We start from the raw sequence: 21,424 nt of genomic DNA on the forward strand, positions 1-21,424 counted from the left end.
ACTCCATCTCAAAAAAAAAAAAAAGTTGTTGGCATGAAGACGTGAAGGCAGGCCAACTGGAAGGGAAGCATCCTATATGACTGGTTTGGGGAGCATATTTGGAAAGCTGGTAGTCATTAACCAAGTTCTAATTGTTCTGGTCTGTTTGCTCGAAGTCAGAGTTTTATTGTCATGTGTGTTCTGCCCATTATCCATTTATATATTCAGTCCCTCACCATTAAATAATGGGATTCCATAGTTAACCTCTTGTTCCTGAATTCTATAAATTTTATGTGCCCACTATGTGCCAAGCACTGTAGTGAACAGCACAGAAATGACACTAGCATTCATGAAAACCTAGGATAATACATAAGAGGAAGGCCTAAATTGAATTTGATATTTTGGAAGGAATGGCAGAGGAAGAAACTTGTAACCTAAGGTTTTAACAAGAGTAAGAGTTAGGCAGACAAGGTGGGGGCAGAGGGAGAAGGGAAGGGGAAGAGCTCTCCAGGTGGTAAGGAAGAAGACAAAAGCTATTACATGCTTTCCATGCAGAAATTTTTTATTTAATCTGATTTGAAATTAGCCATGTTCGCAATTTTAATTTGTTGGTTTAAAAAAGCAAGCATGACTTGTCTGTGTTTCCATATTTAAAAATCCGTGTTGAAAGAGCAAATAAACCAACAAATCTAGTTCTGTCATATGCCTTACTTTTACTGCCCTCTACTTTCTTTTCTTGGTTTCGCAAAGGCTATTTATTAGATATTCTTTGAAGTTTTTATTGAATTGGGCTTGCTGCTTCTTTTTATTGGAAATTCAACATGTTATTCTTCTGCTGTACCAGTAGCCAACCAGACTGAGATCAGACCATCATCCCCCAGCCCCAACAGATCCCCATATTATTGGAGCACCTTAGAACAATTATCAATACAGGTACAATTTATCCTAGGAGATGACTGTTGAGTCAAGCTCAACTCAATTCTGAAAAAAAAAAAAAAAAAAAAAAAAAAAAAGCCCAATATCTTTAATGATTACTTTTATGTGTCAACTTGACTAGACAATGGATGCCCAAGTATTTGGCCACTAGGTGTTTCTGTGAGGATGTTTTGGAAAGAAATTAACATTTAAATTTGAAGACCGAGTAAAGCAGATTGCCCTCCATAATGTGGGTAGGCTTTATCAAATCAGTTGGAAGTCTGAATAGGACAAAATGATGACCCTCCTCCAGCCAGGAAAGAGTTCTGCTAGATGTCCTTGGAACTGAACATTAGCTCTTCCTGCCTGATGGCCTTCAAACTGGATAATTGGATCTCCTTGGTTCTGCAGAAGCTTTCTGGCCTTTGGACTCCAACTAGGACATTGGTTCAGCATATATTAAACTTGCCAGCCTCCATAATCATGTGAGTGAATTCCTTTCAATTAATCTCTTTATATATATTCTATTTCTCTGGAGAACCCTGACCAATACAATATTCAATTGTTATTTTATCCAAGATAGAAAAAATTGTTCCATTTCTTTTTTTAAAATTACTTTTATCCTTAGAGTTCCCAAGACATAAAGTTTCGATTCGGTAAGTCTCTAAGTCCTTTTCTCTGTAACATTCCCACACAAGGCTATACTTAACATTAATGGTAATGAGATTTAATCACAAGTCTCCAGTTCTAGTGTTACCAAAGCTCCACTATATGGTCCAAACACTGAACAAAGACCTATCAAGCTGATTGCTATTATATAAAGCACAAATCTGATAAGGGATCTGATATGGGCATAGTCAGGACTGCAGTAGTGAAAGAAGTCAGTTCCACTCCCGCTACTTATAGACAAAGTGAAGAGCAGCCTCTGCCATTCAGGATCTGGATTGGCACTAACAGCTGGATCATTGTGTTTTCCTGTTAAATAAAAATAAATTCAGAATACCAACAACCAGATAAAACCACTCTGTGACCATAATGAATCAAGACAAAACAAGGGCTGGGTGTGGTGGCTCATGCCTGTAATTCCAGCAATTTGGGGGGCCAAGGCAGGAGGATTGCTTAAAGCCAGGAGTTTGAGACCAGCCTAGGCAACAAAGGGAGATCCTGTCTCTACACAAAATAAAAAGTTAGCCAGGTGTGTGCCTGTAGTCCCAGCTACTTGGGAGGCTGAAGTGGGAGGATTGCTTGAGTCCAGGAGTTTGAGGTTGCAGTAGCTATAATCACCACTGTTCTCCAGTCTGGGCAACAGAGCAAGACTCTGTCTCTAAAAAACAAAATAAGAAAAAACAAGACCAATCAGTAATAATCATATCTTAACACAGATCCCCAAATGACCACTTTGAGTGACTTCTACTTCTTTGCCACTTACAGCTTTAGCCTCACTTCATTCTTCCCACCTTCTAGATAAATAAAAATACAACTCTGCAGGCCAAATCTGTTTGCTGCAGCAGTTATGGGTCAGAATTCTGTTGTTATATATAGTCTGGCCATTTCCCATTTGTATATTGTCTCTCACCATTAAGTGATGGGATTCCACAAATAATTAAACTCTTATTCCTGCATTCAACAAATATTACGTGTCCACCATATGCCAGGCACTGTAGTGAACAGTATATAAATGAATCTAGCATTCACGAAAATCTAGGAGAATACATGGGAGGGGAATCTACATTGAATTTGAGAATCTGGGAAGGCATATCAGAGGAAGTAACTCCTAACCTGCGTTTTAACAACCCTTGGGTTAGAATGGTTTAAACATTTTTTAAAGAGTTCAACAAACTCTTTAAAATATTATTCAAAGAAGAATATATGAATGAAACCATATGTAACTTGCAAAGCCTAAAGTATTTTCTATCTGGCCCTTTCCAGAAAAAGTTTACTAATCTCTATTCTAGAGAAAATTAAGAGACCCAATCATAAAATTACCCTTGCTTTGTGATAGGAACCAATACAGAGCAAAACCCCATATCACTGAATCCTTTCCAAAATTCCCTTACAAAAAACAAAATTGAACAGATCTAGTCTAACACCTTCTTGCAGAAATACTACACAGATACACATAATATGTGGTCTCGATTATAGCAAACAGCCAATAAACTTAACTTTGTTTGATTAAAAAATGTGTGTTAAAAGCAGGGTCGGCAAACTGGAGCCAAAGCCTATCTGTGGTCTGTTTTTGTATGGCCTAAAAGCTAAGAAAGATTATTACTTTTTTTTTTTCTTGAGACAGAGTCTTGCTCTGTCACCCAGGCTGGAATGCGATGATGCAATCACAGCTCACTGCAGCCTCGACCTTCTGGGCTGAAGCAATCCTCCAACCTCGGCATCCCGAGTGGCAGAGACTACAGATGTGTGCCACCATGCCCAGCTAATGTTTTAGTTTTTGTAGAGATGGGGTCACGTTATGCTGCTCAGGCTGCTCTCAAACTCCTGGGCTCAAGCCACCCTGTCACCTCAGCTTTCCAAAGTGCTGGGATACAGTTGTGAGCCACTGCACCTGGAAATTTTTACATTTTTAAGAGTTGTTTCAAAACAAACCAATACAGAAAAATACTTGACAGAGCCCTTATGTGGCCACAAACCCTAAAATATTTAATATTTAGCTCTTTGCAGAAAAGAATCTGCCACCTCCTGATCAAGAACTGTGAAGAGTCGGACATTTTATTCTCCTTGCAAGCTGACAGATTAGTTTGTAGGTTTCATGAATGCTGACACAGAGACAACACACTTGGATCAACAATGAAGGGCTTTATTACTGAAAGCAGTAACCAGAGTGTCAACATATTTGCATTGGTTTCCTGAGCCCCAGTTGCAACAGGGAGGCATGGAAGGTCAGATGACAGCAGTTACTTTTTTTTTTTTTTTTTGAGACACTGTCTCACTCTGTCACCCAGGCTGGAGTGCAGTGCCATGATCTCAGCTCACTGTAGCCTTGATCTCCTAGGCTTAAGCCATCCTCCCACCTCAGCCCCATTGAAATAGCTGGGACTACAGGTACACACTACCAGGCCAGTCTAATTTTTGTACTTTTTGTAGAGATGGCGTTTTGCCATGTTGCCCAGGCTGGTCTCAAACTCCTGGACTCACGCAATATGCCCACCTTGGCCTACCAGTGTGTTGGGATTACAGGCATGAGCCACCGCACCCAACCCACAGTGGTTTTTTTGTTTGTTTTTTGAGATGGAGTCTTGCTCTGTCACCAGGCTGGAGTGCAGTGTCGCGATCTCGGCTCACTGCAACCTCCTTCTCCTGGGTTCAAGCGATTCTCCTGCCTCAGCCTCCCGAGTAGCTGGGACTACAGGCACGTGCCATTACAGCTAATTTTTGTATTTTTAGTAGAGACAGGGTTTCACCATGTTGGCCAGGATGGTCTCAATCTCTTGACCTGGTGATCCGCCCGCCTTGGCCTTCCAAAGTGCTGGGATTTGAGGGGTGAGCCTCCGTGCCTGGCCCCCACAGTGGGTTATTTTTTAAGAGAATTGCCCAGGGCCAAAGGTCTAGGAACAAATATTACAGCAAGATGCAATCAAATCAGTCCTCTTCATCTAGTGAATGAGCAGTAATCATGCTGTTGCAGGACTTTTCCCTAGTTCAGCTAAAGACGGGGTTCCTTGTCCCACTGCCATGAAAATTCAGGCTTGCAGACAATTTGAATGGTGAGTAAGACAGGGTTTTATTGGGTGAAAGGGAAGAAAAGGGGGAAACAGGGACTCTCGCTAGGCCAGAGTCCCTGCTAGAGCGCTTCCTACTCAGCAGTTCGAATCCCAGTTTCCACACAGAAGAGATGGGGCCAGGCTCCCCGCTCTGCAAACATCGTGAACTTCCTGAGACTCCACCCCTGTGGGCAGGGTGGTTGGAGTTTCTTCAGGGACTCCTTCCCATGTGGCTGTCTCAATGCTGTGGCTACGTTCATGTATTTAGTTACCTATGTGATGAGCTACAGCAACTACTCAGAATCAGCAGAAAGATAGCTCTGCAATTTGGCATCCTCAGCAAGAATATGCAGGAATGCTCAGGGCCTGTGGTGAACTAACTCTGCCTAGAGTGTGCCCCTGGTGATATTTGTTTGCAAGTCATTGACAGAAGTGAAGTTTCCACCAAGATTCAGCTGAGACCTTGCCGCTGCAGGCTAAGATCCTCAACTCTCTAGTGTGGACGTCACATCTGGAATCTTGTGTCTTCTGATTGAGGCCCCCTGGCACACAGTGAGGAGGTAAGTTTATACTGAATTGAGCTCCAATATTTTGTTGAAGTTCTTCGCACTGAATTTTATTTTGTTTTCTTAGGAATTAGGTGCCCTGGCATCCTTCCATTATCTGATCAGACTTGTATCGTTCCTTGGTGAAACTGTTGTCTAGTCTTCCAGCTGTTCCTTTTACGGTCTGTCTGCTTACCAAGTTGTCAATTAGAGAAAAAGTCTACAAGAAGATACCAGGCAGAGGCTCTATAATTCTATCCTTGTGCTGGCCCTGGGGGCTGGGAAGTTCAGGTCTCCTCAGACCACTCTCTTTGAACCAACTCTTTGTCTTGAGTCTCCATTACAAATTATGCAAAGACATCCTCCTTAGTTTTGTCTTTGTGTTAGTACTTTAATTTTATCTGCTTGGAATCAGGAGGTTTGTCCACCCCATGTTTGGTGACCATTAACCTTTGGCCAATTTATAAAGACATGAGTTACACAAATGCCATTTTAGGGAACACTGCAGTACTCATAGGGCCTTCTTAATTAAAACCTGCTTTCTACTTGACAAAACCTACTTCCCTTATGTTTTCACACTATAATATTAACTTGCATGTTTATCTGTCTAACTGGTACAGTTTTACCAGAGACAATTTGAGATTACAATACCCACTTTAGCTATTTTTGACAAGAATAAGATTGTTCATATGAGAGGTGCTTTAGAACAAAAAGTGAGGAAGACTTCATGAGGAAATTTTCTTGCTTGTCTAAAAAAGAGAGTATTTAATTTAACGTAGGAGACATCTCTTCCTTTGTTTTCTTACTCTGAAGATTAATAAGTGTTGGATTTTTCACTGTATGGGTGGATAAAATTGTCCAGGGCCCAAGTTGTTCTTTAAATCAGCTATTATAACGCTCTTTTGTGTGTGTACATGTTAAAATGAGTTTTTCCATATCTAAACTTTCTCTTTTTTTCAGAGAAAGCATAATTAGCCTTTTAAGGTGATAATTTTATATTTATCTGAAGTCAACTCTCTCATTTTCTTCTGTTTCTCTGTTTTATTCCTCTCTTAGAAAATTCTAAAGATTAACAATCAAAAAACAAAAAACCAAAACATTCAATTATTGTGTGCTCACTCTAAGAATATATAGTTTAGATAAACAATCACGTAAAAGTAAACAAAAAAGTCATCAAAGTACTCATTTTGGCAGCACGTACACTGAAAAGGCCATCGAACTCTTTGTGTTTATTTTGTGAGTCCTGAATAGCCCTTGTTACCGTACTTAAAAGGTAAAAAGACAAGATCTTAGTTATTTCCAAGATAAAAGAAGAACTTTTAGCATGATTCAGAATCTTTAAATTTCAATACCATATAAAAGTAATGTCAATACAATATTTTGTTTTGAACAGGACCACAGTTAATCTTCTCATGATTTATACTTCCTATATTTCCTATGTTGGTTTTATGAGTTAAATAAATTATCATTGCTTCTACGACATGTTTAAATTTCCATATATAAATGTAAATATGTGTGTATACATATATAAATAAAACATTTGTAATGGTATTCATGCAATGCAAGAGTAATACTTTTTTTTAGGGGTAAATTTTATAAAATTCTTACAGTGCTACAAATAAGTATTTACTGTGAGAGCAAACGTGGTAAATTTCAGATCCTTAACTACGTTCAAGACATTATACAAATAATTAATTTAATTAATAAATAATGTTTTGAAGCCAGAACAGTTTCTAAGTAAAAAACATATATGTTTATTTCCATATGTAAGGAATTTGTAAGTTGTCATTCTGTTGTAACATTAAATAAAAAAACTGAATAGATTGAAAAATCAACTTTTCTTGGATCCGTGAAAGAGATGAAGATACAGGGCAAACACTGCCCCCAATATTGGAGAGAGAGAGAGATGAATACAGGGATTCACAGCTTACCTGAGCAGAGACTCATGAGTGGAAATGGCCACAGAACCAGTGCTAGGATAAGAACTTCTAAACTGTGATCAGTGAATTGCTGGATGCTTAGTGTGGACAAGTCTGAGAGTTAAAAATTCCAGGGGGATTGACTCAAGTGGTTGGAGTGGACTCACAGTTTTGTGACTCATCCCCAGGAGCTTGACCTGGTTCTCACAGTAAGTATGTTAGGAAAATCCTCACTTGTTTTCAGCAGGGGGAGGGAAAATGAATCATTCTGAAATAGAGTAGAGGACTATGTTCTTAACAAGGCCTGCCCTCAGCAAAAACTAGTTAACTAGAGTCTAACCTGCTGGGGTTTTTTTCAGAGCCTCAGTGACTTGGGGGAAGGAAAACACCAAGTCTAGCCTGCTTTAGCTATCCTGTCCCAATTAAGGGTGGAAGCAGGAGGGAACTAAGTCCACAGTCCAGAGGCATAGGGTCATTAAAAGACTGTGACCTAATCGTAGAACTACAGAGCACTTGTTCTCCCCCACAACTTACCACCATGTTATGAAAGACCTATTTATAGCAGCTCCTTTCACCTGGTATATCATGTCCAGCTATTAAGAAAAAAATTACATAAAAGGAAAAAAACAGAATTTGAAGAGACAGAGCAAGCATCAGAACCAGGCATGGCAGAGATATTGGAATTATCAGACCAGGAATTTAAAACAATGATTAATATGCTAAGGGTCTTAGTGGATAAAGTAGATAGTATGCAAGAACAGATGTGCAATGTAAGCAGAGGAATGAAAATCCTGAAAAAAAAAAATGCTAGAAGTGAAAAAAAAAAAAAAACTGTAAGAGAAATGATGAATGCCTTTGGTGGGCTCATTAGTAGACTGAAATGGCTGAGGAAAGAATCTCCAAGTTAAAGGATCTCTCAACAGAAAACTCCGAAACTGAACAGCAAAGAAAACAAAGATTGAAAAAACAGAACAGGGCTGGGCACGGTGGCTCATGCCTGTAATCCCAGCACTTTGGGAGGCCCAGGCGGGCAGATCACGAGGTCAGGAGATCGAGACCATCCTGGCTAACACAGTGAAACCCCGTATTTACTAAAAAATAACAAAAAAAAAATTAGCCGGGTGTGGTGGCGGGCGCCTGTAGTCCCAGCTACTCGGGAAGCTGAGGCAGAAGAATGGCGTGAACCCGGGAGGCAGAGGTTGCAGTGAGCCAAGATCACACCACTGCACTCCAGCCTGGGTGACAGAGCAAGACTCCGTCTCAAAAAAAAAAAAACAAAAAAAAACCACCCAGAACAGAATATTCAGGGACTGTAGGACAACTACAAAAGGTATAATGTACATATAATGGGAATATCAGAAGGAGAAGCAAGAAAAAGACAGAAGAAATATTTGAAGCAATGAAGATTTTTAAATCCTTCAAATTGGCCGGGTGTGGTGGCTCACACCTGTAATTCCAGCACTCTGGGAGACCAAGGTGGGTAGATCACCTGAGGTCAGGAATTCAAGACCAGCCCCCGCCAACATAGTGAAACCCCGTCTCTACTAAAAATACAAAAAATTAGTTGGGTGTGGTGGTGCACACCTGTAATCCCAGCTGCTCGGGAGGCTGAGGCAGGAGAATCATTTGAACCCGAGAGACGGAGGCTGCAGTGAGCCAAGATTGTGCCATTACACTCCAGCTGGGCGACAGAGTGAGACTCCACCTCAAAAAGAAAGAAAGAAAGAAAGAGAGAGAGAGAGAGGGAGAGAGAAAGAAAGAAGGAAAGAAAGAGGAAGAAAGAAAGAAAGAGAAAGAAAGAAGGAAAGAAGGAAAGAAAGGAAAGAAAGAAAGAAGGAAAGAAAAAGAAAGAAAGAAAGACTGACAAAATACAACCATATAAAATGCTCAATTAAAACCACAAACAGCTGGGCGCAGTGGCTCAGGCCTGTAATCCCAGCATTTTGGGAGGCTGAAGCAGGAGGATTTCTTGAGCCTAGGAATCTGATACCAGCCTAAAAAATAAAGTGGGTCCCTGTCTCTATAAAAAATTTAAAAATTAGCTCGGTGTGGTGGTGTACACCTGTAGTCTCAGCCGCTCTAGAGGTTTCAGTGGGAGGATCACTTGAGCCCAGGAGTTTGAAGCCGCCGTGAGCTATGATCACACCATTAGGTTCCAGCCTGGATTACAGAGCAAGACCCTGTCTCTCTCTCTCTCTCTCTCTCTCACACACACACACACACACACGCACACACACAGGAGAAAAACTGTGGCAGATATAAATAGGAACAGAGAACAAGGGCAACAAATAGAAAGCAATAACAAATACGGTAGATATTAATCCAACTTTATCAATAATAACTTTGAACATCAATGGTCTAACTGCACCAATTAAAAGAGATTGTCAGAGTGGTTCAAAATATGAGACCCAACTCTATGTTATCCACAAAATCCCACTTTAAATGTAAACACGCATATAGATAAAAAGTAAATGAATGGAGAAAAATACATCATGCTAACACCAATAAAAAAAAGTAGGATTAGCTATTTTAATTTCAGACAGAGCAGACTTCAAAACAAGGAAAGTTTGTTGGAATAAAGAAGAGCATTATGTAATGATAAGGGGTCAATTCTCCAATAAGACAGAACAATGCTTAATGTGTACGTGCTTAACAACAGAGCGTCAAATTATATAAGGCAAAAAACTGATGGAACTACAAGGAAAAATATATGAATCCATTATTATAGTGGAAGATTTCAACACCCCTGTATCAGATATGAACAGAACCAGCAGGCAGAAAATCAATAAGGATGTAATTGAACTCAACCACACCATCAGTCATCTTGATATAGTTGACATCTATAGACTATTCAACAACAACAGAATAAACATTCTTCCTAAACATGCAAGGAACATTCGCCATGACAGACCACATTTTGGGCCATAGAAGACACTTTTGTAAATTTAAAATTATATAAAGCATACAATATCTACTCTCAGACCACAATGAAACTAAACTAGAAATCAATAATAGGAAGATAGCGAGAAAATTCTAAAATATGTCGAGTTTAAACAATACATTTCTAAATAACATGAGTCAAAGAAGAAATCTCAAGATAAATTTTAAAATATTTTGAGCTGCAAGAAAATAAAAACATAACTTACCAAAGTGTATGGGAGGAAGCGAAGTAGTGTTTAGAGGGAAATTTGTAGCATTGAATGTATATATTAGAAAAGAAGAAAGACCTAAAAATCAATAATCTAAACTTCTACCTCAGGAAACTAGAAAAAGAAGAGCAAATTAAATCTAAAGTAAGCAAAAGAAGAGAAATAATAAAAGTTAAGCATAAACTGGTAAAACTGAAAGTAAAAAAATCAGTAATCACACCAAAAGCTGGTTCTTTGAAAAGATCAATGAAATCAATGAACCTCTTAGTCACGCTAAGAAGAGAGAAGACACAAATTACTAAAATCAGAAATAAAAGAGGGGACATTTCTACAGATGACATGAACATTAAAAGGATAATAACAAATGCTGTGAACAACTATATCCCACTAATTTCATAACCTAGATAAAATGGAACCCCTTGAAAGACACAATCTGCCAAAACTCACACAAGAAGAAATGGACAATCTGAATAAACCTATATATATCAAAGACATCAAGTAAATAATTAACCCATAATTAAGTACCCAACCCATAATAATTCCCTGGAATAAACTATGACTATGTCTGGGTTGTTGTTTGCTTACTCTCTGGATGGACTGAGGCTTTTCCTTGCTAGGGAGCTATAACTCCACACACTGATTTCCCCCAAACTTTAGGAAAAGTAAAGAGAACTAACAGAGTCCTAAAACTAAAATTATCAACAGTTTCGAAAAACAAATTTCATGGCCCTTCAAATTGCCATTAGTCATGATTGATTGATGACAATAAATCAACCCCTTCTGGGACCCACAGATTATCTCTTCTTGAATTAACAGCCTCCCCCTACCCATGTATTTGAAAATTTTACTTCCAATCCTACGTTCTACCATTACAGAGTAATATAAATAAATGCTTCATGAGACTTATGCTACCTGCCGAATTATCCCTAGTAGGTTCAAGTGCATTTCCAAAATACTTACCTAAGCAGACTTTGATTGATCTAAAACCTGGCAATTTGGTCCTTTGGAAAAGGAACCAGAATAAAACTGTCCTTGGGCACTGGTGGAAAGAACCTTATTGGGTACTGTTAGCAATTGAGGTAGTGGTTTAAACTCCAAGGTAATGATGTTGGATCCATCGTTTCCAACTAAAAAGACATACCACTTTCTTCTGATTGCTGGGCATTTACTCTAACAGAAGACATAAAACTAAAGATTTTTTAGGAATTCTTCAGGAGCTAATATCTGGAGATGTGGACTGCTTTTGCCCAAGACAAAGAAACCAGACTATTTTTCTGTTTTTTTCTAATTAATTTTCTAATTTTTCAGCTCTACCACTAATCTTGCCTTTTATTGTATTTTGACATCCTCCAATGAACCAGTATTGGTAGGGCAATTATAAGGGTACTTAGATAAAAACAAAAATGATCTACAATTGCTTCTGTAGACACAGGGTCTAGGTATGTTGCCCAGGCTGGTCAGGAAAAAAATGATCTACAAATTTCAATGCTTTAACTGTTAAAAGCAACAACTTACTAATGACTTATCTTACCACTTTTTAAAATTCATTAACCTAAAAAACATAATTTCTCTGAAAAGAGAGACTTTAATCATTATTTGAGTATGAAATAAAATTAAGTATCGTTTGAAGGGACTATAGTCGAGCCTCCTAATCATGAAATCTTGGCTTCCTTGAGCTTATCTTTCCATTCATTACTTCAACATTTATTAGAAGCCTCTATCCATGTATTAACTCGATATTTACTAGGAGCTTCCATCAATTTATTGAATTCATCCATTTATTACTAATATGTACCAAATAATGTTAGACAGTAGGATATGAGGACACAGATCTATGGTGTTTCAGTTTTGTGGATGCAGGCAAATAAACTATAAAGGGAAGTAATATGGTACTGAGTGCTCTGACACAGGTATGAATAGAGAATGTGGGGATAGGTAATTGTAGCCATTTCTTTATAATGTGTGTGCTTGGGGTGAGATTCAGGAGAATACTACGGGGTGAAAACATTGGTGGAACAGAAAAAAATTTCACAAACTAACAGTTGCAGAATGGCTACAGATCATATCGGAAATGAACCACACACTTCTGTATCTGTAGTCCTCTGCGTTGTGAAAAGATTGACTTTTTTCAAAACAGGTCAAGGAATTTGGTTATGTCAAACACAAAGTTGCCTCTTTTTTCCTTCTGACATGGTAAAAGAAAAAAAACAATCCCATAGGATGTGTTTGGTTGGCCATAGTATATTGAACTTATCTTAACCGTCTCAAAACGCATGTCAAGGACACCACTGAGACTTCTGAGTACCATTTAAAAAATTGGGTAGTCTGGAAGTGTTCTAAATTGGACCGTTTGGGGTTTCTGTTAGGGCAACTTTCCCATTTACATCTTGGAACACAGCCTTTTGAATATAGCCCTTCGGGATTGGCGGGGAGAAGGGACCGCGATGGAAAAAGTCATCATCCAAAGAATGAAGAGGGAGGATCCAACATTTAGGATATTTTATTGACTTGCTAGGCGCGTTTACCTTATCTTCGTATTAACCCCATTTTCTTCATTAACCAATTGATGCTGTGAGAAGCTATGTAACTTGACGAGCAGTGCCCAGAACTGTTTTTTTTTTTTTCTGGACTCGGTCTTTTCCACTCAAAACCAACAAAAAACCAAAACTCGTTCTTTTCCACATCAAAAGCAAACAAAAAACCCCAACCCCAACCCCAAGAGCCCCACTCTTTCAAAAGGGCTTCTCCGGATCACTAAGTCCTAGAGGTCTTTGGCTAGGCCTGGGTCCGATCTAAATAGGAAGGTAATTCTAGTGTTCCGCAAATCCTTGCCGAATTCCATCCCGGCCAAAGCAGGGACCCGGGGGAGCCTCTGGTCGCACCCGAGACAGTTCGTTAAATACTCAGTGCACGTGCTGGGGATGGAAGTGCTGACCCACTGCTCAGGTACGCGCGCACCTGACGCCGCTTGGTGCGCGCCGCGGGGTACTGGGTACGTGCTCCGCGCGCGCGCGCCCGGCAAAGTTCCCCGTACGTGCGCCGTACGTGGGCGCGGTGCCCCAGCGCTCAGCGTTTCAGCGAGTGAGTGGGCTCCGTGCCCAGCTGAAGTCTGGGAGGGGCACTTTTCCAGGCGGTCGCGGCTCCCCCTGGCGGCGGATGTGCCTCGCTGGAGGGGCGCAGTCAGGCGTTCTCCGCGGGCAGCCGGCGGCGGGGCCTTGCCTTACAGCGCGGGGTCCTCGGCGGCCTGGGTGGCTACTGCCCCTGCTGCTGTCGTAGGCGAGGACGGCTGTTAGTGCTGCTGCTGTTGGTTCGTCGCGGCGGCGAAGGAGGAGGAGGAAGAGGGCGAGGCGACAAGAGAAGAAGGAGGCAGGCGCGGCGGCAGCGGCGGCGCCCCGAGCCGGCGGAGGCGAGGGGGGGGAAGATGGCGGACGTGCTTAGCGTCCTGCGACAGTACAACATCCAGAAGAAGGAGATTGTGGTGAAGGGAGACGAAGTGATCTTCGGGGAGTTCTCCTGGCCCAAGAATGTGAAGACCAACTATGTTGTTTGGGGGTAAGTCCGGCATGGCTGTGGCCCAGGGGTGGCAGGGCAGAGTTGGGCGCCCCCAGGCGACCTCTTTCTTAACCCCTCCCCCCGTTTCCCCTGGGGATGGGATAAAACGGGTGTTCGGGGAAAAGAAAGTTTCTCTCTAGAGCAGAAGTTGCACTTTTAGGGTAAGGAAAGAAGGGGCGGAGCTCTAGAGCAGTTCATCACTTAAAATTTTTGAGAAGCCCAAAGGAAAGGTACCGTGGGAGTTTCTGACTTTTACAGTTAATTTTTATCAGTAGGTATGTGTACCAGCGAAGTGTGGGACTGGTGCGCAAGGGATACCTGAACATAGGTGCACAAAGGAGCACACCGTCTGGTGCCGTAGACGCCTCTTTTTGTTCTTTATTTTTTTTTTCTCTTTTCCAGGCTGCTATGTAACTATCTCCGCTGGTCTTTGCAACTCCTGGTTTATTTCATCTCCTTTCATTGTTGGGGTGGGGGTGATTCCTGTAGAAGAGAAAAGGGAATCAACCCTGAAGTTAGGACCGGAAAGAAATTTGGTGAATTTGGAAGAGTCATAAAAGTCTGTGTTAGAGAGGTCTTCAGGAGTTGGTGAAATGAGTGAGCTTTACAGATCTAAGAAATAGATGGTGCGTGTGATTTTTCGGAAGTGTATTTTAAAGGGAAATGTTTGGGAATGTTGGTCCATGTGAAGTTTTATCAGTTTAAGTCATTCAGGAAAACTTCTAGAGACGGCTCTAACAGTCATTAGGGGCCTTTTTAATGATGTCACTGTCATTGGTGCATCGCTTCTAGAATTAGAACCTTGAGCTACAACTTCCCTACTCATTTTGTTTCTTTGAATGGAAGCTTTATGAAGAGTCGATGAAAAACTAGGGAAATTTAGTTTGTTGGTTGGTATTTATTTATTTATTTTTGAGAGGGAGTCTTGCTCTGTCGCCCAGGCTGGAGTGCAGTGGCGCGATCTTGGCTCACTGCAATCTTTGCCTCCTGGGTTCAAGTGATTCTCTTGCCTCAGCCTCCTGAGTAGCTGAGGTTGCAGGCCCCCGCCACCATGGCCGGCTAATTTATGTAGTTTAGTAGAGATGTGGTTTCACCGTGTTGGTCAGGCTGGTCTCGAACTCCTGACCTCAAATAATCTGCCCGCCTCCACTTCCCAAAGTGCTTGGATTACAGGCGTGAGCCACGGCGCCCTGCCTATTGGTTGGTTTTAAAATTTTTTTGTCTTATGATTTAATTAGCTTTATAAAATGTTGATCAAATGACATTCTGAGTTTCTGGTATTTTACCCTTTCGAATAATTTGCATAGGTAGAATTACATGTGGTTGGATTTTTAGTGAATTTTTTTTTTTTTAGACAATGGCTAAGGAGTACCTAGGGTGTGAAGTGGTTCAATCTGAGGATTAAAAAAATTCCTAAGACTCTGGTTTCTACCTCAAAGGAGGTTAACTTAGTCTGAATAGAGGAGATTAAACAGATAAGTTGATGTGAAATGCTTTCTATAAGTTGATGTGAAATGCTTTCTACAATAGCTTTTGAAGACAGCAGTCACTTCTAGTTGGGGTTATTTAGGAGAAGGTTCCATAGAATTGTCTTTGGCAAGTTCACATCCAACAAAGTTTTCTTGAATGAATGAATGAATGAACAAACAAGCTTTAAAGAATAGGTAGGAATTCTCTGGGCTAAATGATGGGTTAAGTCTTCCAAGATGAGTGAACTGTATACTTAAAGGCTGTATGCTTAAAGGCATAAAGAACTGGAAAGTAAATGTGTTGACAGCAATCCAGTGAAGCCAGTGAAAAAGGAGTGCTTATCACAGTAGATTTTAAACTTTTTCAGCAGTTTATCACACCAAGAAATTGTTTTTATTTTCTATATGTGCACATGCACATGGAAATATATACACATATAAAACACTAAACAATACTTACTCTTCTTATTGTATGCAGTGCATTTTATTTTTCTGTTCTTTTCTATTCTGAAAATAGAAAAAATATGGTTGTTAACTATTTATTGGGTTTCATAGTACAATAATTGATGGTGTGTGGTTTGAAATACATTGGTTTAGAGGAAAAATGGGACTAGAAGGTAGAAAAGTAGGTTTAGGGCTGATTATAGTGGACCATATTCAGATGGATTCAAAGATATAGAAGGGGAAAGTGTAGAAGGAAGGGTAGGATTGGAATGAGGTAATATTAGTACCTGCATTAGAGATCTTGCACCGTTAGTAGACTACATTGTTTTATCACAGGTAGAATAGCATTTTGGTTTTACATTATTGGTCTAATTTGAGGGATGCCATAACAGTCATACCCCTGAAATTCAGTGTTGTGTTTACTGTAAGAATGTGAAGGATGTTGTTCAGCAGTATCTTATTTATCAAGAGCCATAGGATAAATTTCTTTTACATTTAGCACCAGTGATAATTGTGCTTCTTCTAAGCAGTGTAATTGTTTTCTCTTATGGATCCTCTTCGATATGGATCTGGTTAGATTTCTCTATTGGTAAAGCCCAGAGCCTAATTTGGGCCTAATTCTAAAAAGTTTGTAGTACCTTAGAGTATGAATTTTTTGTATTTTCCCTACTTCTTGCTTTTTGTCATTGCCTTCCTTTGTGTTTCTTTTGTGATCATGACAGTCTATTCATTATTAGATTTTATACTTTTTTTTTGTTAGCTATGTTAAACTCATTGTTGTTAGCAAAGTTGTTTATATAAATGAATCCAGCCTGAAGAGTTGAATTAGAATTGTCAGTAAAAAAAATCTTGCCTTAATTATTTCAGGACTGGAAAGGAAGGCCAACCCAGAGAGTACTACACATTGGATTCCATTTTATTTCTACTTAATAACGTGCACCTTTCTCATCCTGTTTATGTCCGACGTGCAGCTGTAAGTAGAATTCATTTTACTTATCTATCTATTTATCAGTTTTATTTTTATTTATTTAAGAGACAGGGTCTGGCCTTGTTGCCCGGGCTAGGGTGCAGTGGTGTGATCATAGCTCATTGCAGCCTCGAACTCCTAGGCTCAAGTGATCTTCCCACCTCTGCCTTCAAGTAGCCAGGACTGCAGGCCTGTGCCACCGTATCTGGCTAATTTTTTTTGTTGTTGTTAAAGATGAGGGGGTCTTGCTGTGTTGCCTAGGCTGGTCTTGAACTCCTACCCTCAGTGGATCCTCCTGCCTCGGCCTCCCGAAGTGCTGGGATTACTGGCATGAATCACTGTGCCTGGCCAATAATTCATTTTAAAACTTTTTTTTTTTTTTTGAGATAGGATCTGGCTCTGTTGCCTAAGCTGGAGTGCAGTGGTGTGATCTCGGCTTACTGTACCCTCTACTTCTCGGGCTCAAGCCAGCCTCCCACCTCAGTCTCCTGAGAAACTGGGACTATAGGCATGGCCCACCATGCCGGGCTAATTTTTGTATTAACACATTTTTTTTTTTTTTGGCTTCGTGGTAGTAGGTATCATTTGGAATGGATAGCTTCCCTCATGGGTTTCAAATCAAAAGAATGAAAGGTTTGTATGAGTGTCTCCAGGAGAGTCAAAATTAGGTGACTGTGTGACTTACACAGACTTTTTAATCTGTGATATTTTTTCATGTAAAGTGTGGGTAATGTTTATAACAAAGGAAGTTTTAAAGGGATTTATAGAGCCAGGCTTCTTAGTGCACGCTGGTAATCCCAGCTACTTGGGACTCTAAGGCGGTAGGGTTGCTTGAGCCTAGGAGATCAAGACCAGCCTGGGCAACATAGTGAGATGCCATCTCAAGAAAAAGAAAACCCGAAACGCTAAAAGTATTTATAGAGATGTTTAGAAAAACTTGTAAGCCTGTGGAAGGACCCTGTTACTTCAGAACTCTAGTTTAATCTCAAGAAAACTTTTTTTGGTTGTAAGGATTAAGATTAGCAGACATTTAAAAAAATTGTTTCTTAATCAGTTTTGTGCAGCTGTTTTAGTACTCTGGAGAAGTTCATTTGTTTTTAGTTTTGCTTGCTTTCTCAGTGTTTGAAAATTTATTACTCAGAGGAAATATTTGGAAACAACTTGAAAAGAACTAATTTCATAAACTATGATGATGAGATTCTTCATCTGTAGGGAAGTATCATTAAGACCTAAATTATAGCAGTATATTATAATTGATAAGTAAATAAGATTCAGAGTTATTTGGATAGGATAGCTGTATGACATGGAAAAGTACTATAATGCCCACATAAAATGGCCTAAAAGATATTTAATTTTTTTAAATGAGCTTTTCCCTCAGATTATTTTTGGTAGAGTTGAACATAAAATTTTTTGAAGATATAATTGAAATAATTAAATGTCTGCTTTTAATATTTGTTGCTTTTGCTTACAAGTATACACTTAAAATTAAGTATGAAATGTATTTATAAATAACTACTTTTTCCCATTTCTTATAGTTCTTAAAACAATCTTCTTAAACTTTTCTTATAGTTCTTAAAACAATTTTTTAAAATATCACTGTGTCTGTCATCACTGGAGCTGCTTTTTGAGTTACCTAACACCGTTGCTGGATCACATTAAGCTGTGTGAAACTTAACTTCTATAACTCTAACCTCCCTCCCAACTAGAAATAGTTAAGGTTTCTGGCTTATGTATCTTTCAAACAATAACTTGTTGTCTAAAGCAACTAAAAGCCAGGTGTGGTGGTGCATGCCTGTAGTCCCAGCACTTTGGGAGGCTGAGCTCAAGTGGGAGGATCACTTGAGCTCAGGAGTTCAAGACCAACCTGGGCAACATAGGGAAACTTTGTTAAAACAAAAAATAAAAAAAATTAGTCAGGCGTGGTAGTGTGCACCTATACTCCCAGCTGGCTACTCAAGGGGCTGAGGTGGGAGGATCACTTGGGCCCAGGAGGTTGAGGCTGCAGTAAGCCATGATCACACCAATGCATCTATCCTGGGTGATAGAGCAAAGACTCTGTCTCAGGGAAAAAAAAAAAATGTGTGTGTGTGTGTGTGTGTGTGTGTGATTATAGCAATTGAGAAAGTATCCCGTCACTTAGTGGGCTTTGTATTAAACCATAAGGCTTCTGCTTTCCTGAGTAAGAAATATATATTTATGTTACATATTTAAAAAAATAAAATTAGAGTGGGACTACTTGGGAAAATAAGGGGAAAAAAATAGCACCAGCTCCGTCTTTAAGGTTATTTTAACTCAGATCTTTAAAAACTAAATTAGGTAGTTCTTACAGTGTTTTGTTGGATATATTCATTTTAGTGTAACAAAGATTCAGATAGTTGGCTTAGATTTATAGATTCTGTTTTTGGGAAATGGTTGTGCATATAACTGATAGCTGTAATTGTTACTGTGGACCTTGGGACCCTTGGTTGCATAAGATTTAACTCATTTTTCATAAGTATTTGCCAGATTGAAAGAGTAGGATTCTAAAATTCCAAAATTCTATGAATTCGAGATTGTTGTCTCCTAATTACTTTGTGTTATTTGCTCTTTCCTGTGCGCAGACCACTCATTTTTTTTTTTTTTTTTTTTGAGTGCAGTGGCGTGATCTCGGCTCACTGCAACCTCCGCCTCCTGGGTTCAAGGGATTCTCCTGCCTCAGCCTCCCAAGTAGCTAGAATTACAGGCACACGCCACCATGCCTGGCTAATTTTTGTATTTTTAGTAGAGACGGGGGTTCACCACGTTAGCCAGGTTGGTCTTGATTTCCTGACCTCGCGATCCGCCCGCCTCGACCTCCCAAAGTGTTGGGATTACAGGCGTGAGCCACTGCGTCCGGCTGAGCAGACCACTCTGAAAACAGATTCCTGATCCTTAGTTCCTATTTTAGTGTGAGTAGATGTAATCTTTTTCAGTGGATTGTGATGTGTACATAACTCAGTAGTGACCAAATGATGATGTAAGTTATTAGACTTAGAAACAGTAACTTAAAATTAACTCAAATCTTTTAACTGTTTATGATATTCCATATAGACTGGTTTATTTTTATTTTTTATTTTTTTTTGAGACAGAGTCTTGCTCTGTCACCCAGGCTGGAGTGCAGTGGCAGGATCTTGGCTTGCCACAGCCTTACCCTCCCGGGCTCAAGTTGTCTTCCTCCTTCAGCCTCCTGAGTAGCTGGGAGTATAGCTGGGACTGCAGGCGCTTGCCACCATGCCTGGCTAACTTTTATATTTTTGTAGAGTTGGAGTTTTTCCATGTTGCTCAGGCTGGTCTCGAACTCCTGGGCTCCAGCAATCCACCCACTTTGGCCTCCCAGAGTGTTAGGATTACAGGCATGAACCACCATGCCTGGCCTAGGCTGGTTTAAAAGAATACAAGCACAAAAAAACTCTGCACTCAAATTTTTAAACTCATAAGGAGAAACTAAAATTTAGCTTGACCTTTTTAAAATAAAAGGTTAATTTTTAAGTGATTAAATACAGTTTATCTAAATCATTGAGGAGTCAGTGCAGAATGTTTGGTGCAGTAAATTATAATAAGTATTCAATATAAGGTCATTGGCCAAAGATACTAAAGGTTCTTGTTGTTACTTCATTGTTACACATATAAAGTGACAAAGGATTTAAACTGAAATCTGTTAGCTACCAATTTTTCTTGCACTGTTTGTTTGTGTTTCAGACTGGGTCTCGCCTCAGTCTCCTGAGTAGCTGGGATTATAGGCTTCTGCCATCACGCCCGGCTAATTTTTTTTTTTTTTTTTTTTTTGAGACAGTGTCTCACTCTGTCACCCAGGCTGGAGTACAGTGGCGTGATCTCGGCTTACTGCAACCTCTGCCGCCCAGGTTCAAGCGATTCTCTTGCCTCAGCCTCCCGAGTAGCAGGGACTGCAGGTGCCTGTCACCGCGCCTAGCTAATTTTTGTAGTTTTAGTAGAGATGGGGTTTTACCATCTTGCTCAGGCTGGTCTTGAACTCCCGACCTCATGATCCACCCGTCTCGACCTCCCAAAGTGCTGGGATTACAGGTGTGAGCCACTGCGCCCTGCCTAATTTTTGTGTTTTTAGTAGAGATGGAGTTTGACCATGTTGGCCAGGCTGGTCTTGAACTCATGACCTCAAGGGATGCGCCCGCCTTGGCCTCCCGCAGTGCTGGGATTACAGGTGTGGGCCACTGTGCCTGGTCATTGCTTTATTTCTAATGATTATTTTCTGTATATCTTCCTGGAATTTCAAAAAGAAATTTATTTATTTATTTATTTATTTATTTATTTATTTAGAGACGGAATCTCTCTATGTTGCCCAGGCCGGAGTGCAGTGGTGCAGTCTCGGCTCACTGAAACGCCTGTCTCCGCCTCCTGGGTTCCAGTGATTCTCCTGCCTCAGCTTCCTGAGCAGCTGGGATTACAAGCATGCTTCACCACACCCAGCTAATTTTTGTCTTTTTAGTAGAGACGGGGTGTTGCCATGTTGGCCAGGCTGGTCTTTAACTCCTGACCTCAGGTGATCCACCCACCTCAGCCTCCCAAAGTGCTGGGATTCTAGGTGTGAGCCACCGCGCCCAGCCAAGAAAATTATTAAAAGTAACATGTTTAATACATTTTCAGGATTTTTATTAGGTTCTTTTAGCCTAGTCATTTTGTTCAAATGTGATTTAAAATATATTGTATCAAGATATATTGGAATAAAATTCAGACATTACATGTTAATATCAAGTTGTAAGAAAATTATTAAAAGT

At 40.1% G+C, this 21,424-nt stretch overlaps 1 protein-coding gene and 1 long non-coding RNA gene across 3 annotated transcripts in view, besides 7 other annotated features; one reads left to right on the top strand and one right to left on the bottom strand.

The window, feature by feature from the left end:
• Positions 521-7,160, bottom strand: LOC124904474 (uncharacterized). The gene is made up of 2 exons (XR_007066776.1): positions 7,084-7,160; positions 521-2,218 (listed from the first exon to the last, which is right to left on the bottom strand). It is a non-coding gene; the product is annotated as an uncharacterized LOC124904474 (long non-coding RNA).
• Positions 4,564-5,470: an enhancer, noted in NCBI's record as "OCT4-NANOG-H3K27ac-H3K4me1 hESC enhancer chr1:193082253-193083159 (GRCh37/hg19 assembly coordinates)". NCBI's record gives its function as "activates a minimal SCP1, AML or CMV promoter by ChIP-STARR-seq in naive H9 embryonic stem cells {active_cell/tissue: H9 hESC(naive)}" and the evidence as "EXISTENCE:reporter gene assay evidence [ECO:0000049][PMID:30033119]".
• Positions 7,120-7,414: a silencer, noted in NCBI's record as "tiled region #4625; K562 Repressive DNase matched - State 5:Enh". NCBI's record gives its function as "represses a minimal TATA promoter and a strong SV40 promoter by Sharpr-MPRA in K562 cells {active_cell/tissue: K562}" and the evidence as "EXISTENCE:reporter gene assay evidence [ECO:0000049][PMID:27701403]".
• Positions 12,969-13,615: an enhancer, noted in NCBI's record as "H3K27ac hESC enhancer chr1:193090658-193091304 (GRCh37/hg19 assembly coordinates)". NCBI's record gives its function as "activates a minimal SCP1, AML or CMV promoter by ChIP-STARR-seq in primed H9 embryonic stem cells {active_cell/tissue: H9 hESC(primed)}" and the evidence as "EXISTENCE:reporter gene assay evidence [ECO:0000049][PMID:30033119]".
• Positions 13,280-13,359: a silencer, noted in NCBI's record as "silent region_1657". NCBI's record gives its function as "represses an Ori minimal core promoter by ATAC-STARR-seq in GM12878 lymphoblastoid cells {active_cell/tissue: GM12878}" and the evidence as "EXISTENCE:reporter gene assay evidence [ECO:0000049][PMID:35858748]".
• The window catches only part of CDC73 (cell division cycle 73), a 132,785-nt gene continuing 124,832 nt past the window's right edge, over positions 13,472-21,424 (top strand). For both annotated transcript variants that reach the window (NM_024529.5, XM_006711537.5), the window contains exons 1-2: positions 13,472-13,772; positions 16,553-16,658. In NM_024529.5, coding sequence (NP_078805.3) covers positions 13,642-13,772; positions 16,553-16,658 — 237 coding nt within the window. In that variant the 5' untranslated portion in view covers positions 13,472-13,641. The remainder of the gene's footprint in view (positions 13,773-16,552; positions 16,659-21,424) is intronic.
• Positions 13,520-13,589: an enhancer, noted in NCBI's record as "active region_2267". NCBI's record gives its function as "activates an Ori minimal core promoter by ATAC-STARR-seq in GM12878 lymphoblastoid cells {active_cell/tissue: GM12878}" and the evidence as "EXISTENCE:reporter gene assay evidence [ECO:0000049][PMID:35858748]".
• Positions 13,616-14,260: an enhancer, noted in NCBI's record as "H3K27ac hESC enhancer chr1:193091305-193091949 (GRCh37/hg19 assembly coordinates)". NCBI's record gives its function as "activates a minimal SCP1, AML or CMV promoter by ChIP-STARR-seq in primed H9 embryonic stem cells {active_cell/tissue: H9 hESC(primed)}" and the evidence as "EXISTENCE:reporter gene assay evidence [ECO:0000049][PMID:30033119]".
• Positions 13,860-13,909: an enhancer, noted in NCBI's record as "active region_2268". NCBI's record gives its function as "activates an Ori minimal core promoter by ATAC-STARR-seq in GM12878 lymphoblastoid cells {active_cell/tissue: GM12878}" and the evidence as "EXISTENCE:reporter gene assay evidence [ECO:0000049][PMID:35858748]".

This window comes from Homo sapiens, chromosome 1, assembly GCF_000001405.40.
Source record: "Homo sapiens chromosome 1, GRCh38.p14 Primary Assembly".
In the NCBI taxonomy this organism is placed as follows: Eukaryota; Metazoa; Chordata; class Mammalia; order Primates; family Hominidae; genus Homo; species Homo sapiens.